This window comes from Homo sapiens, chromosome 4 (genome assembly GCF_000001405.40).
Source record: "Homo sapiens chromosome 4, GRCh38.p14 Primary Assembly".
Classification (NCBI taxonomy): domain Eukaryota; kingdom Metazoa; phylum Chordata; class Mammalia; order Primates; family Hominidae; genus Homo; species Homo sapiens.
Genome location: NC_000004.12, coordinates 9,170,401 through 9,183,990, shown reverse-complemented (window position 1 = coordinate 9,183,990; position 13,590 = coordinate 9,170,401). Strand labels below are relative to the sequence as shown.

Below are 13,590 nucleotides of genomic sequence, written 5' to 3'. Positions count from 1 at the left end.
TATTGATCCATGATCATGATGTTGATTCATAGAGTTGATTATTCCCCTTTATTGCTAAATATTACTCTATAATATGCATATAATTTATCAATTTCCTCTCAATAGACATTTGAGCTGTTCCCAGGCTTCAGCTATTGTTAATAGAACTCAAGGACACATTTTTAAAGGAAAAAATTTCAACCCAAAATGTCCTTTCCTTTTGGCTCTCCAATATTGTGTCAGAGTTATATTTTTGTTGTCTTGAAAATCCAATTACATTGAACAGGAGGTGTCTCTAGAATCAAGTTCAGTATATGTGTGTTCTGGCTGTGTCCTAGAATGTAGCCCTTATTAGTTTTATTAAGCATTTTCCTATATAAATTGAAATCAAGTTGAAGACTCATTTTTCCACAGTAGGACAAATAGAAAAGTTTAGGACTTTGGAGAGATGGCAACTTGCTGCTTGCCTGTGCAACCCACCTCAAAAGATACAAGTCCTCCAACTTTTGATTCCTGGTAAATTGTCCAAACAATTAGATGTGAATTGACCTTATTCCCTTACATTACTACAAGTCGATCCTCTGCACCTGGCCAAATACAGTATAAAATTGATGAGCATATGTTTCTTTTGGTTTCATACTTTCTATTTAAAGCTATTCTCTTTGGCTGGGCACTATGGCTCATGCCTGTAATCCCAGCAGTTTGGAAGGCCAAGATAGGTGGATCACTTGAGGCCAGGGGTTTGAGACCTGCCTGGCCAACATGATGAAAGCTGTCTTTCCGAAAAATACAAAAATTTTCTGGGTGTGGTGGCACGTGCCTGTAATCCCAGCTACTCAGGAGGCTGAGGCAGGAGAATCACTTGAACCCAGGAGGCAGAAGGTGCAATGAGCCAAGATCCCACCTCTGCATTCCATCCTGGGTGACAGAATTAACCTCCATCTCAAAAAATTAAAAAGCTAATCTATACTTTTCTTTTGGTGCATTATTAGAACATAGAAGGCAATAAGGCAAAACTATTGTGGGTATATTAGTGCGTATCTGTAGCACCTAGCACAGTGCCTAGCCCATAACTTGTGTTGAAAATTAAGAGGACCTTCTTCATATCACTTTTCCCCACTCTAGTTCTGAATTTAAAGAAAGAAAAAAGTAGGTTAGCAAATATAGGTATCAGTTATTTCTATTGACAGATCATTTGGAGAACATGTTTTTGGGTGTGGGAGAAAAAAGATTCCTAACTCTCCACCCCAGAAATAATTTTGCTGATACAAAAATCAGCCGGACATGGTGGCACAGGCCTATAATCCCAGCTACTTAGGAGGATGAGTTTGAAGATAAGGATACATTGTGAAAAAGGTGGGAAAATCACTTGAACACAGGAGGCAGAGATTGCAGTGAGCCAAGAGTGCCCCACTGCACTCCAACCTAGGCAACAGAGAAAGACTCTGTCTGAAAGAAAAAAAAGTTGTTGCTATATAGCACATAATTTTATTGTCATCTCATTTAAAATTGAATAGTACATTTGGGTTGAATTCTTATGCCTGCAGAGACATTTGCTTCTGGCTTAAAGTCACTGGCTGTAGGAGGAAACTCCAGCAGAGGGCATCATAAGGATTTCATAGTGTCTATGGTCATCTTGGTAATTCCTCAGATAATTCCTGGCAATTCTGTTAGGTCTTGAACTTCACTTACTTCTTACATGTTTAATAAAAAGAAGTTCAAAACATTGCCATGGCTGTTGAATTCCCACAGGCTTGTCTTCCCTTTAAAATTTATCACATGGTTTGTGCTCTTTTGCAGATATAATACGTAAGTTTGGAGGTGGATGCTTTCAGCCACTAAGTTCAAAAGTACTGCCACAAGGGCCAGGCATGGTGGCTCACACCTGTAATCCCAACCCTTTGGGAGGCCAAAGCAGGCAGATCACGAGATCAGGAAACTGAGACCATCCTAGCCAACATGGTGAAATCCCATCTGTACTAAAAATACAAAAATTAGCTGAGTGTGGTAGTGTGTGCCTGTAGTCCCAGCTACTTGGGAGGCCGAGGCAGGAGGATTGCTTGAACCCGGGAGGCGGAGGTTGTAGTTAGCCGAGATTGTGCCACTGCAGCGCAGCCTGGTTACAGAGTGAGACTCCATCTCCCAAAAAAAAAAAAAAAAAAAGTACTGCTACATGGACATCCATTGTCCCAGCATCTCTTCCATAATAGCTGAGGAATTATCGAGAATGTCTGTTAATTTCTTTAACTCCAAATTTGTGTTATGTCCCTTGGTCTCCTGTCATACCATAAATTGTATTATTCATAAAATGGACACTTTGTCTATAGTTATTTCTTCTCAGGATGCTACATCCCTTTAGAATTTAAACATACAGTGTCTCCCAACCTGAAATTTGAAGTTTTGAAAAACCAGAAAAATGTTTTCGGACACCTTTTATTTCCAGCTGGTTTTATGTCCTCTCCTGAATCCAGGTTGAGGGTAAAGTCCATTCATCAGCATTTCTCCTCAACCGACAGCAATCTCATCCCACTCCAATATGATGTTTGTCCCCACAAATTGATGCACATAATTCTTGCTGGCAGTGGTAATGTCTTAATAAAAAAAATCATGAGATGGCATCAGACTTTACTTTATTTTCTAGCTCAGCAGAATTTGATTCCTGTCTGATAAGGAAACCCTATTTTCCCTAGAAACTTTTCACTTTTGTCACAGGTTTGGTTCCCAGGGAACTGGATATAGATGAAGTTTAGTGTGCAGGATGTTTATTAGGAAGTGATGTGAGGATCCACATCTGTGGAAAGGATTGGAGGGAAGCCTTATGTGCAAAGGGACAAGTCTAATGGCAGTGCAGCCTGACATTGTCACCTGGCCACACGGACAGAGCTGTAGAGCTAAGAAATCCTCCCCTATTTGTCCCAACTGAATCAAATGGCAAAGCCTATGTACCCCTCCCCTCCATTAATGATTGTGTGCTTGCCATTTGTGGAGGATGAGACTTTGAAGCAGGTGGCTTTCTGTGGCTGAAAAAAACCTTAAATGTGCTGACAAAGTTTTCCAAAGAGACAGAGAATGGCATCTGCCATGTATGTTGCCCCTTTCCAAAGAGGAAGCAACAAGGGTAAGCAACAAAGGTAAGCAACAAGGAAGCCTCCAATGGCTCTGTATGCAGATAGGAGGAAAGTAATGTCTGTCCCTCCTGTGACCTAAGAAGAACAGATGGCAGACATGCAGCCAGGCAGTTAGAGGTGACACAGTGTTAGGAGATAAACATCTGTCAGAAGCAGTGCTTCTTTGAATCAGGTGTGACACGAGCCTTGCATCCCTTGCATGGTCCCCTTCCCCATTATCCTGCTGTCCTACCTCATGAAGGTGGGTGGGGGCTGGCTGGTGGGCAGTCCCAGTACCAGGTACACTTTGCCTGCAGTGTTTCCACATGAGTTCCAAGGTAGCCCATGTGGTCATCCATGAACTTTGTGTTTTCCTTATGCTGTTTGTCCTTTGCCTTTGAGGAACATGTTTCATTTGACTCTGAGTCCAAACAACTCATGTGTCCCTATATCTGTACATTGTCCTTCACTTAGGGGAATCTCTAATCTCTAATGCCTTTGTTTTATTTTTACTATTAGTATTATAATAATTAACATTGTCATTATTATCTTCATTGTTGATGTTCAGTTATTTTTATTAATAGAATTACTATGAATTATTATATTGTGGCTACTTACACCAAGATGAAGATAATTTATTAGTTCAGGAAGGATCTGCATTCTGAAGGCAAATAGAAGTTCCAGCTACAGATGGGCAGACGCATGCCCTCTCAATTTCTGAGGGACCTCCTAGTGCCTCCTGGACCTAAGGGGCCTCCCTCAATGTTTCAAGATGCCACCAAGGCAGGGATCAGCTCGTGCATTCCTGAGAACATTCATGATGAAGTGAGGCTCTGGAAAAATGCAAGAGTTTCCACATAATCCCAAAAAACCCTACAGGTGAACTGGATGCCACAGAAAGAGGAGTGGTCTTTGACACAATAAAATCAACAAAATTATTTCAAAGTCAATTAGGAAACTCAGAAATCACGCTTGCTGCCATTAAGAGGAAGAACAGGAGCCTGTGAATGGCATCCTTGGCCTTCCCGAGACTCTACAGATATTTCTATGTGGCTTCAGACACCAGAAATCTCTGTGATTTTCAGAAAGGCAGGGACAGCTCCTGCCAGCCCATCCCTCTGCAGAATGTGTCCCAGCAGACCAGTGGCATGGAACCATCATGGACAGCACAGAGGCTCAAGGGCAGCATCCCAGGCCGGCCTGTGACTCTAGATAAGTTCTGAGTCCCCATGGGGGCTCAGGAAAGGTTAGTGACGACCTGGAAAGAAGGGACAGGCTGAAACCACCCCTAAGCAATATGCAGGATTCCAACTTCAGCAGGAAGCCAAGGACCAGCTCGTACCACAACTGCGCCCCCTGAAAACGCTGGATACAGTCCCACTCTGCAGAAAGTTCCACGTAGAAGTGGCTGGGAATTTTGTATTCTAGACTGCATTTTACAGTACCTCTGGACATGTGATGAGAAATTTAACATTGGTGTATCTAACTGTAACATCTTTCATGAAGCGATTTTTTAAAATGTGGTAAAAAAGACAAAATATAATTCAAACATATGCATTATATGTCAAAGTATGCTTTGCTGGCATCAAGTAGACTCACCTTGAGATACAATCTTGGACAACCTCCATCTTCAGAATATCTACTTTTTCAAAGAGAAACTCTACAACCAAAAATCAATAACATCAAAAGTCTGCAACTACAAGCCGACGGAAAATAAATACAGGAATTCTACCACAGTGAATTGGACCGCACTGGGAAACACAGATGAAGAAAGTCAACACCGCTTTTTCCTTCAGTGCCTGGCTCCTTTTTCAGCTCGTCTTGAGACTCCAGGCATTATGCCTGAAAAGTCTCCTAGACGCCTGTGAGGCTCTAATTCCCTGGGTCCCATTGCCATTTCTCTGGATTTGCGAAGATCCACCGGACCTTCTGTGGAACTCCCGTGTCCCTGTACTTTTGTGCCTCGTCCCCTAATTCTGCCCATGGTCATCTGCACCTGCACGAGTTAGGGTCCATGTTCCTTGGACGGGAAGAGACAGGCAGGAGTCGGAATGATGAACCAGCACACTGGGGCGTTTTCTCATGTAGCCCAAGTGACCCCATGGTCTTCTTGAGCTTTGGAACCAGTCGCGTCCCCCTTGACACTGCACCCGACTCCCAGTTTCTCAATCTTGTTGGCCCTCCAGCGATCTCCCGTTGGATGAATTTCACCTGCTGAAACTCGGGTCCCCTTTGATTTGCGCTTCATTAATTATTCATGATTCAGGTTGGAAGGCCTGCTGACGACCCCCTGTGGCCTTTCTCTGAGCTTTCCGGTCACATGTTTCCTTCCACGCTCTTTGGTTCATTGTGGTCCTGCTCCTTCTGCTGTCAGAGGAGCAGAGAGTTGATCTTATTGATTCTGGATACGGATACTTTCTAGGTGATCTGGATAATCAAGATAACGACCCTCAACAGCGGCGGAAAGGGAGCAGCCATTTGGTGTGTCTCAGAAAATCCCGCTCAGTTCCGAGGCCTCCTAGATGTGGAATCCTGCTCAGAGTTGTTCCCAGGTCAGAGAATGGAGAGAGCCTGTGCATGATGGGATATCCCTGCCTAGATCTTTCAGTGAGTCTCTACTACAGCTCCTCTTAGGATCAGGGGGAGAACCATGGAAAGGCCCGGTGTCAGACATCCGGAAAGAAGACGGGATGAACGTTTTACCTCTGAAGTACATCCCAAATGTGGGAGTTAACTTCACCTTTGCTGGGGTCTATTTGGCTAGTGAAACTCTGCCTGGTTCATTCGCACATCCGGAAGCCACTTCACGGGGGGCCGTCGCAAATGGAACCACACACTTGGCATCGGCGGTTGAGCCAAATGGGGACTCGTGGTACAAGGAACGCTCCCCACGTGTTAGCGTGCGTGAGATTCGGTTGGCAGAATTTTACTAGGTGTGTGTTGGTAGAATGGGGCTGAGGTTTTCTTGCTCCTGTGGATGTATACGAAGTCAAAGCACCTGCCCAGCCCTGCGGTCCCCTCAGTCAACTCTGTTTCGGAGACATAACGATTTGGATTGCTAACAAGTCAAGAAACTTTCAAGCCCTTGGATGTAGGGAAAAGAAAGAGAGATCAGACTGTCACTGTGTCTATGTAGAAAGGGAAGCCATAAGAGACTCCATTTTGAAAAAGACCTGTACTTTAAACAATTGCTTTGCTGAGATGTTGCTCATTTGTAGCTTTGCCCCAGCCGCTTTGACCCAACTTGGAGCTCACAAAAACCTGTGTTGTATAAAATCAAGGTTTAAGGGATCTAGGGCTGTGCAGGACGTGCCTTGTTAACCAAATGTTTACAAGCAGTATACTTGGTAAAAGTCATTGCCATTCTCTAGTCTCAATAAACCAGGGGCACAATACACTGTGGAAAGCTGCAGGGACCTCTGCCCTTGAAAGCAGGGTATTGTCCAAGGTTTCTCCCCATGCGATAGTCTGAAATATGGCCTCGTGGGATGAGAAAGACCTGACTGTTCCCCCGCCTGACACCCGTAAAGAGTCTGCGCTGCGGTGGATTAGTAAAAGAGGAAAGCCTCTTGCAGTTGAGATGGAGGAAGGCCACTGTCTCCTGCTTGCCCCTGGGAACTGAATGTCTCGGTGTAAAACCCGATCGTACATTTGTTCAACTCTGAGCTCGGAGAAAAGCTGCCCTGTGGCGGGAGGCGAGACATGTTGGCAGTAACGCTGCTTTGTTATTCTTTAGTCCGCTGAGATGTTTAGGTGGAGAGAAACATGAATCTGACCTACGTGCACGTCCAGGTATAGTACCTTCCCTTAAACTTAATTATGATATAGATTCTTTTGCTCACATGTTTTTTTTTTGTTGTTGTTGTTGTTGACATTCTCCTTATTATCACCCTGCTCTCCTACTACATTCCTTTTTGCTGAAATAATGAAAATCATAATCAATAAAAACTGAGGGAACTCAGAGGCCGGTGCCGGTGTACGTCCTTGGTGTGCTGATTGCCGGTCACCTGGACCCACTGTTGTTTCCCTATACTTTGTTTCTGTGTCTTATTTCTTTTCTCCGTCTCTCATCCCACCCGACTAGAAACACCCACAGGTGTGGAGGGGCAGGCCACCCCTTCACTTGGAAAATCAGTTAAACACAAACACGGAATGAGAGTCAAAAGACAATACGTCATCTTTTTGAGAATTTTATTCACTTCCAAACAAATTCAACACACCTATTTACAAAGGCATTCCAGAGCCCAGTTTTCGAGGCTGAGGAAAGACCCCGAGAGCGCTTTGCACAGCACGCTTCCCAGCGTCCGAAACACTGCTCTCAGGGCGGGGCACAGCGGAAGGGCTGCACCTCTCAGGGTTCCCTAACTTTTCCCTTATTCAGTCATCTAGAGAGCAAATACACAGTAATTCCCCAGTTTCCTATTGACGTCCCAGCGGAAGTCTGACTCCTGCGCGTCACGCAGTTTCTGAGGCAACGAATCTCTCTGGCACGGAAGCTTTTCCTGGCGCGTTTCCGGAGAACCATGCGAACTACAATGTCCCTCACCAGAATTCAATGAGGCAGATCCCTGCATCTGCTCCCTGCCTGGCCTGGGCTCCCACATCCACAGAAGCGCCACAGCCGGGGAGCTTCGGAGTCACCGCACAGAGTCTGCTCTCTGCTCTGAGCTCCTCAGTCCCACAGTCCCCTCCAAGTCACAGGAGCTGGAGGCCAAGGAGCCCCTGCCACCTGCAGTCTCACTCCAGGTCAGAGTCGCTGTCCTCTGAGGAGGAGGAAACCTGAAGGTCCTCATAGAGGACGTTCGGTGGGACACGAACACGGGGAACCTCAGACTTCTCTGAGACATGAGGGCTCTGAGCGAGGAAGGCTCCCGGCTTCTCAGGAGAGTGAAATGAGGGGGCCGCCAGGAGGCTGGAGCTCCAGCGTCCGTTTTCCAGTCTCCGGAAGAGCACTCTGAGAGGCTGGGCCCCATCATGGCTGGTCGCTGGGTGATGGGACATGGTGCAGGCCTGGGCAGTAGGCAGGCAAGGTCTGCTGTGCGGAGGCTGCCGGTCGACGCTGGACACCTGGGCGGGTGTCCTCCTGCCCATCTGGGGCGACGTACTTGGTCCAAGTTCGGTTGTTGCCGGCGGAGGTTGGAGATACTCCGGGGCCCCCAGCTCACCTCCCTGGATGGCGCTTTCGGGGATCTGGAAGGGACCCAGCCTCGGTTTCTTGGGGAAGTTCAGGCAAGCCTGAATCGGAGCCTGGGCAGGTCTCTTGGCTCCTGGCCCGAAGCTGAGATTGGAGCCTAGACCCAAGCTATGTGTGGCGGCTGGTGGGCAGGGCTGTGAGGTCACCGCAGGACGTTTGTCTTGTGCCTGGGGGCTGATGGCCTGGAGCAGGCCGTGGGTTTTGGAGGCAGCCTGGGGAACTTCTCGGCAGCCACCCTCAGGGCTGCTGTGTGTCGGCTTCACCACGAGGAGAGGCTCGGGGCCCTGGTGTCTGACTGCAGGCTGAGGGATGTCGGCCGCAGCCCCTGTCTGTCTTTCCTTTGGTCCAAGACTTGAGGAGGAGCTCAGACTGGCTTTTCTGAGGGGAGACAGTGAAGCCAAGGCGGAGCCCCTGTCAGACATTTCGGTAGCTGAGCGATCAGCGAGGACAGGGTCCACACGCGGCCTCTTACTGGTTGTGTGGACCGGCATTGGCCCGCTTGCAACCTGAAAGGAAGGAAACAACACAGGTTAGAAGCTCCTCAGCATGGAGCCAACGTGAAAATCAACCACATCCAAAGACAGGCTGCACACGCCATGAAATTCTTACGGTCCTTGGAAGTAGGGACAGACCCTCCACCTGAGTGCTGATCAGGACAAGACACATGAAAGATGCGCTCTCGAGCTATGTATAGCTGATCTAAGCACATCATTGTTCAAAAGATGGCGTCTTGGGCATTAACTGGATCAAAGCGCCTTCACTCAGCCTTCCATGAAGTGGAAGGGACTAATGCCCTTCTGAAGGCAGGTTGGTGGCTCAAGGGTACTCAGGACGTCTTCTCTGAACACATGCATTTTCCAGGGTTTAGCCTTCTCCATGTTTGTGGCCTCTGAGGGACAAATTTCTTCATGCCGCTAGGAACATGTTGTTGGCAGGCTTGCCATAATTGGACAGAAAGAAAACAACAGGAAATACGGCATCTTCAGATGCCTTCGCCTGGAATCAAATTGACCTGGAAGGATCGTGGAGTCCCTGACCCCAAGAAGGCAAGAAAGAGGGGTTCCCCGATTCCCTCCCGCAGACGGGAAGCTGAAAGGAAATCAACCAGCGTGACCTAGAAGACAAAAAGACCAGGGGCCCAGAGTGACACTCACCCTCAGATAAACAGAAGATTCCGTGGATCCTTTTCGATTTGGCAGCGGCTTCTCTGGAGGTTTCCCGGAAAATATGTGGAGGAGAGCCTTCCTCTGCGGGTCTTGTTGCCTGCAGAACAGAAAAAGGTCAGGCCGTGGCCCCTGGTTTTCCCCAGGAGATAGGGAGAACCCTGTCTGGGGCTCAGTCCCATTCCGTGTTTTGTGATACAGAAATGGACATCTGGTGCCCTTTCCGCCTCTGCACCTTCCCTCACGTGCCAACCTTCCCATCCTCCAGGTGGCCCTCTAGGCCTCCCAACTAAGGACTGTGATTTGGATTCCATCGCTTTTCCCCCTGTCGTGGGGAACCTGCACGAAGCGCCCCCGCCTCTCCCTGTCCCTGAATCTCCCAGAGCCAAAGGAGCTCCTGGGTGTGGAACCCCGGAGGACACGGAGCTCCGGTCTATTTCTCTGCAGCGTTGCTTCCCTGGCCCGGAGACGGAAAGGCACACGGTGTGCAGGTGCACAGACACCATGTCCTTAGGAGGCAGTGCCCTAAGAGTGGTGAAAACCCCTCTCACTGCTCACCTTGGTCTCTCTTCCTTCTCTCCCTTATCCTTGTTCAAGGGCCCCGGGTTTGCTTCAACCTGGGGCTTCCATGGTTTCAGGTTTTCCTTCCCTTCCTTTTTCCCCAAGGTCGGTGGAACCAGGGCTGCCTTCCAGCACTTCATGGGGCACCTGGTACTTCTGGCCATGTGACCAAAGGCCCCACAGTTTTTGCACTTGAGCTGTGGGTGGAAAGGAAGTGATGTCGGTGAGTGAGCTGAAGCCACAGGCAGCGATCCCACGTCAACATTGAGACGGATTGTGAATTCAGAGCTGAATAAGGATTCCAAAGAGGGGACACCGGCATGGGGGCCGTTAAGTGCTGAGAGAGTTCGGATGCGATGTTCCCTCCCAAAGCCCATGTGACGGAGGAACTCTAAAAGGCAGGACTCAAGGTTCTAAGGGGCACGATGGTGAACCCGATGTCAACAGCACAGCCAAACGTGGCTACACAGGACTCTAAGTAGAAAGGGAGGTTGCCCTCAAGAGTCTCTCAAGGGGTCTATCGGTCCGGGGAGGAGGTCCCAAGCCACGCCCACCTTGGATGGGAAAAGCAACCTGGGTGGTGGTGACAGAACTCTTTGGAATCCAACCCAGTCTCTGAGGACCGTGTGACACCCCCTCCCCCGGCCCCCACCCCCACCCCGATACACAGGAGCTCCAGGGCTAGACTTACCCTGGGATCTTCTTCATCGGGCGGGGGAGCCCTTGGCCCAACTGGGGCTCTCCGCTGCTTCTGGAGGGTCTGGGCTCTCACCAGTCTCTTTGCCCCAGGTTTGGGGTCACGACATGCCATCATCTTCGTCTCCTGGGGGTTTTATGACCGCCTTTTTCAGGGGTTGATTTTTGGGTCACCTGAAACACACACAAACACACACGTCGATGGTTAAGCACATTGGATATTCACACACCCACAGGTAGCCCCCCCGCTAACTCCTTGCCGGTGTGGTCATGAGGAGACCTCACCACCAGTCGGTCAAATCTGTGGAACACAATGTGCTGTGTGCATCCTCAGATATTGTGTGTTCCTCTGCCATGTTTACCTAGTGCAAGAGTAAACCTCACCTGCCACAGGGCCTGTGGCCTAGGTATGGGGAGTTGAGCTTTTAACCCCAAACTAACAACTGATTCTGGAGAACTGGACTTAGGTCTATCACGATTCACTCTGGTAGAAGACACGATGACTCTATCTCCCTTGACGGACAGAATGATCGAAGCCACAGGGCATGGCGTGTGTCACCCTTTGGCAGGTCTGTTTGAAATATGGGATAAGGGATGCTTCCTGTCACAACTTGAATCGCTACTCCTGCCATTTCATTAGGCAACTTCCAAACACAAATTCATAGAGAGAAGTTATCTTCCTCTCTACCACACTAGCAGGTGATGGTCTTTCCTGTTCTATCTTTTTGGCTTTAGCTCCAGCCCCTCTTTATTTATTTTTCTGGTATTTTACACATGCCACACGAATTCATCTAAACAAACGGTGAACAAGTGCCATATCGTATCGACGTCTTACACGGCTGAAGGGCAAACCACCCTTTTTTCCAAAGTCCTTTTTCCATTTACCCACCAATTCAGCATGCTGCAGTACATTTCTTTTCGCATTCCCACCTTGGTCTTATCCCACACATGGAGACGGAAATGCTTTCTCGTTTTCTGTTCCAAGAATTACTAGTAACGAGAGCACACCCTACCCCATCAGCAAGCCCCAGTGTGATCGCTTTCTTTCGGCCTCCTTTGTCTCTTTTCCCCCCCACCCCTCAGGGATTGCGTGAAACAAACAACTGTTCAGTGAAACTAACCTGAAATTACACGTCTACTTTCTTTCCCCGGCTGGCGCTGAGATGGGCAGGTGCTGGAGCAGCCCCGCTGGAAGCGATGCAGCATCCAGGAAGACGGAGGAAGGGGCAGAGAGGGACCTCTACTTTCCAGGCGGCCTTTTATACTGCCTCTGGTCACCTGACGTGGAACGTACCCTAACCTAATCAGTTACATGTACGTTAATTACACTTAACTTAATCCAATTACATGACCTGGAAAGGTCTATCTGCACAGCCCACTCTAAGATCATGTCCACTGCTGACAGACATTCTAAAACCTACGTGTACAGCTGCAAGCTTTGAAGAATAGATGTTCCCCGTCAGACATGTAACACTGGTGCCTGTACCCCTGTCTTCTTTTCCATCTTTTTTGTTTTTGTGTTTTGTTTTAAAAAATGTGGTAAAATAGACACCTTTTAATTGGACCATATTTACTCTATCTCGACGTGGGCCTCAGTGTCATCAAGGAGATTCTCCTTGACATGCAGTCACGGCCATGATCCATCTTCTGAGCTTCTCTTTCTTCCCCAAGGTAAGTCTGTCAGCAGAGATCCCTGACCACACCCTCATGTGTTTTCTTCTCCAGGAGGCGCTTGGAAACCACCGTGAATTGGACCGCACTGGGAAACACAGATGAAGAAAGTCAACACCTCTTTCTCCTTCAGTGCCTGGCTCCTTTTTCAGCTCGTCTTGCGACTCCAGGCATTGGAGTCCAGGGAGGGGCACCCCGCCTTTACCCTGTGCTTCCCACGATCTTGTCTCCTTAATCCTCACTGCAGCTCTCTGCCATAGGGTCTTATACTGCTTTACATGTGGGAAACTGAGGCTCAGAGGGTTTCACAGCAGGGCAGGGAGCCCAGATGTGAATCTGTAGATACCAAGCTTTCTACTTTTTCAATAGTTTCCAAGCATCTTTTTTTTTTTCTTGTTTCGTCATTGGTGTCTATTTTTTTTTTTTTTTTTTTTTTTTTTGTTGAGACAAAGTCTCTGTCGCCCAGGCTGCGGTGCAGTGGTGCGATCTCAGCTCATTGCAACCTCTGCGTCTCACATTCAAGCAATTCTCATGCCTCAGCCTCCCGAGTAGCTGGGACTACAGGTGCCCACCACACCCAGCTTACTTTTGTATTTTTGGTAGAAACAGTGTTTCACCATGTTGGCCAGGCTGGTCTTGAACTCCTGACCTCAGGTGATCCACTCTCCTTGGCCTCCCAATATGCTGAAATTATAGATATGAGCCACTGTGCCCGGCCATGTCATTGGTACCTTAACCAAGCCTCTTTTAATTTTTCAAACGGAAGAGCCCCTGTCCCACAGTTACTGCTGCTGAGCCCTTTCAAGGTGACTCAGTGAGGAGGGAGAAAAGCGGAAGCGGTGTGGGAAGAGGCGGGGTCTGGGCCAGCTGCTGGTCCTGCTCTCCTCCCTCCTCTGGCCTCTAGGCTCCCAGGAGTGGTTTGGAACCTGCGCCATGTGCTCTGGAGGCTGTGGCAGGGCAGGGGCGGCTTGGAACCTGCGTCATGTGCTCTGGGGGCTGTGCCAGGGAAGGGGGAGTCCTCGTGTCCCCTGCGCACAACACAGACAGAAGGCTGGATCCACCCAGTGGGCGGTCGGGTGCCAGGCCAGTGCTTATACCGCCATGTTTGCAGCCCTAGGCCAGCTGGCTGCAGGTGCAGGGCTATGCCTCAGGGTCAGGGTGCACACACCCCTGCAGGTCTCAGGGCTCCTGGGTTGCTTCTGGAAGGGCCCAGATGGGG

At 48.7% G+C, this 13,590-nt stretch overlaps 1 protein-coding gene across 1 annotated transcript; it reads right to left on the bottom strand.

Moving 5' to 3' along the window:
• Positions 1–7,260: 7,260 nt before the first annotated feature.
• Positions 7,261–13,582, bottom strand: FAM90A26 (family with sequence similarity 90 member A26). The gene is made up of 7 exons (NM_001358418.3): positions 13,469–13,582; positions 12,253–12,459; positions 11,822–11,978; positions 10,696–10,874; positions 10,002–10,201; positions 9,435–9,543; positions 7,261–8,786 (listed from the first exon to the last, which is right to left on the bottom strand). Exons 4-7 carry the CDS (start codon positions 10,816–10,818, stop codon positions 7,824–7,826), a joined length of 1,395 nt encoding a protein of 464 aa, NP_001345347.1. The 5' UTR covers positions 10,819–10,874; positions 11,822–11,978; positions 12,253–12,459; positions 13,469–13,582; the 3' UTR covers positions 7,261–7,823.
• Between the last annotated feature and the right edge of the window lie 8 nt (positions 13,583–13,590).

Bases quoted from the DNA above. Each gene is read 5' to 3' on its own strand.
- FAM90A26 (NM_001358418.3), bottom strand. From the start codon at position 10,818: ATGATGGCATGTCGTGACCCCAAACCTGGGGCAAAGAGACTGGTGAGA. The intron at 9,544-10,001 runs GTGAGCAGTGAG...TCTGTTCTGCAG, and splicing joins GAGAAGGAAGAGAGACCAAG to GCAACAAGACCCGCAGAGGA. The intron at 8,787-9,434 runs GTGAGTGTCACT...CCTTCCTTTCAG, and splicing joins AATCTTCTGTTTATCTGAGG to GTTGCAAGCGGGCCAATGCC.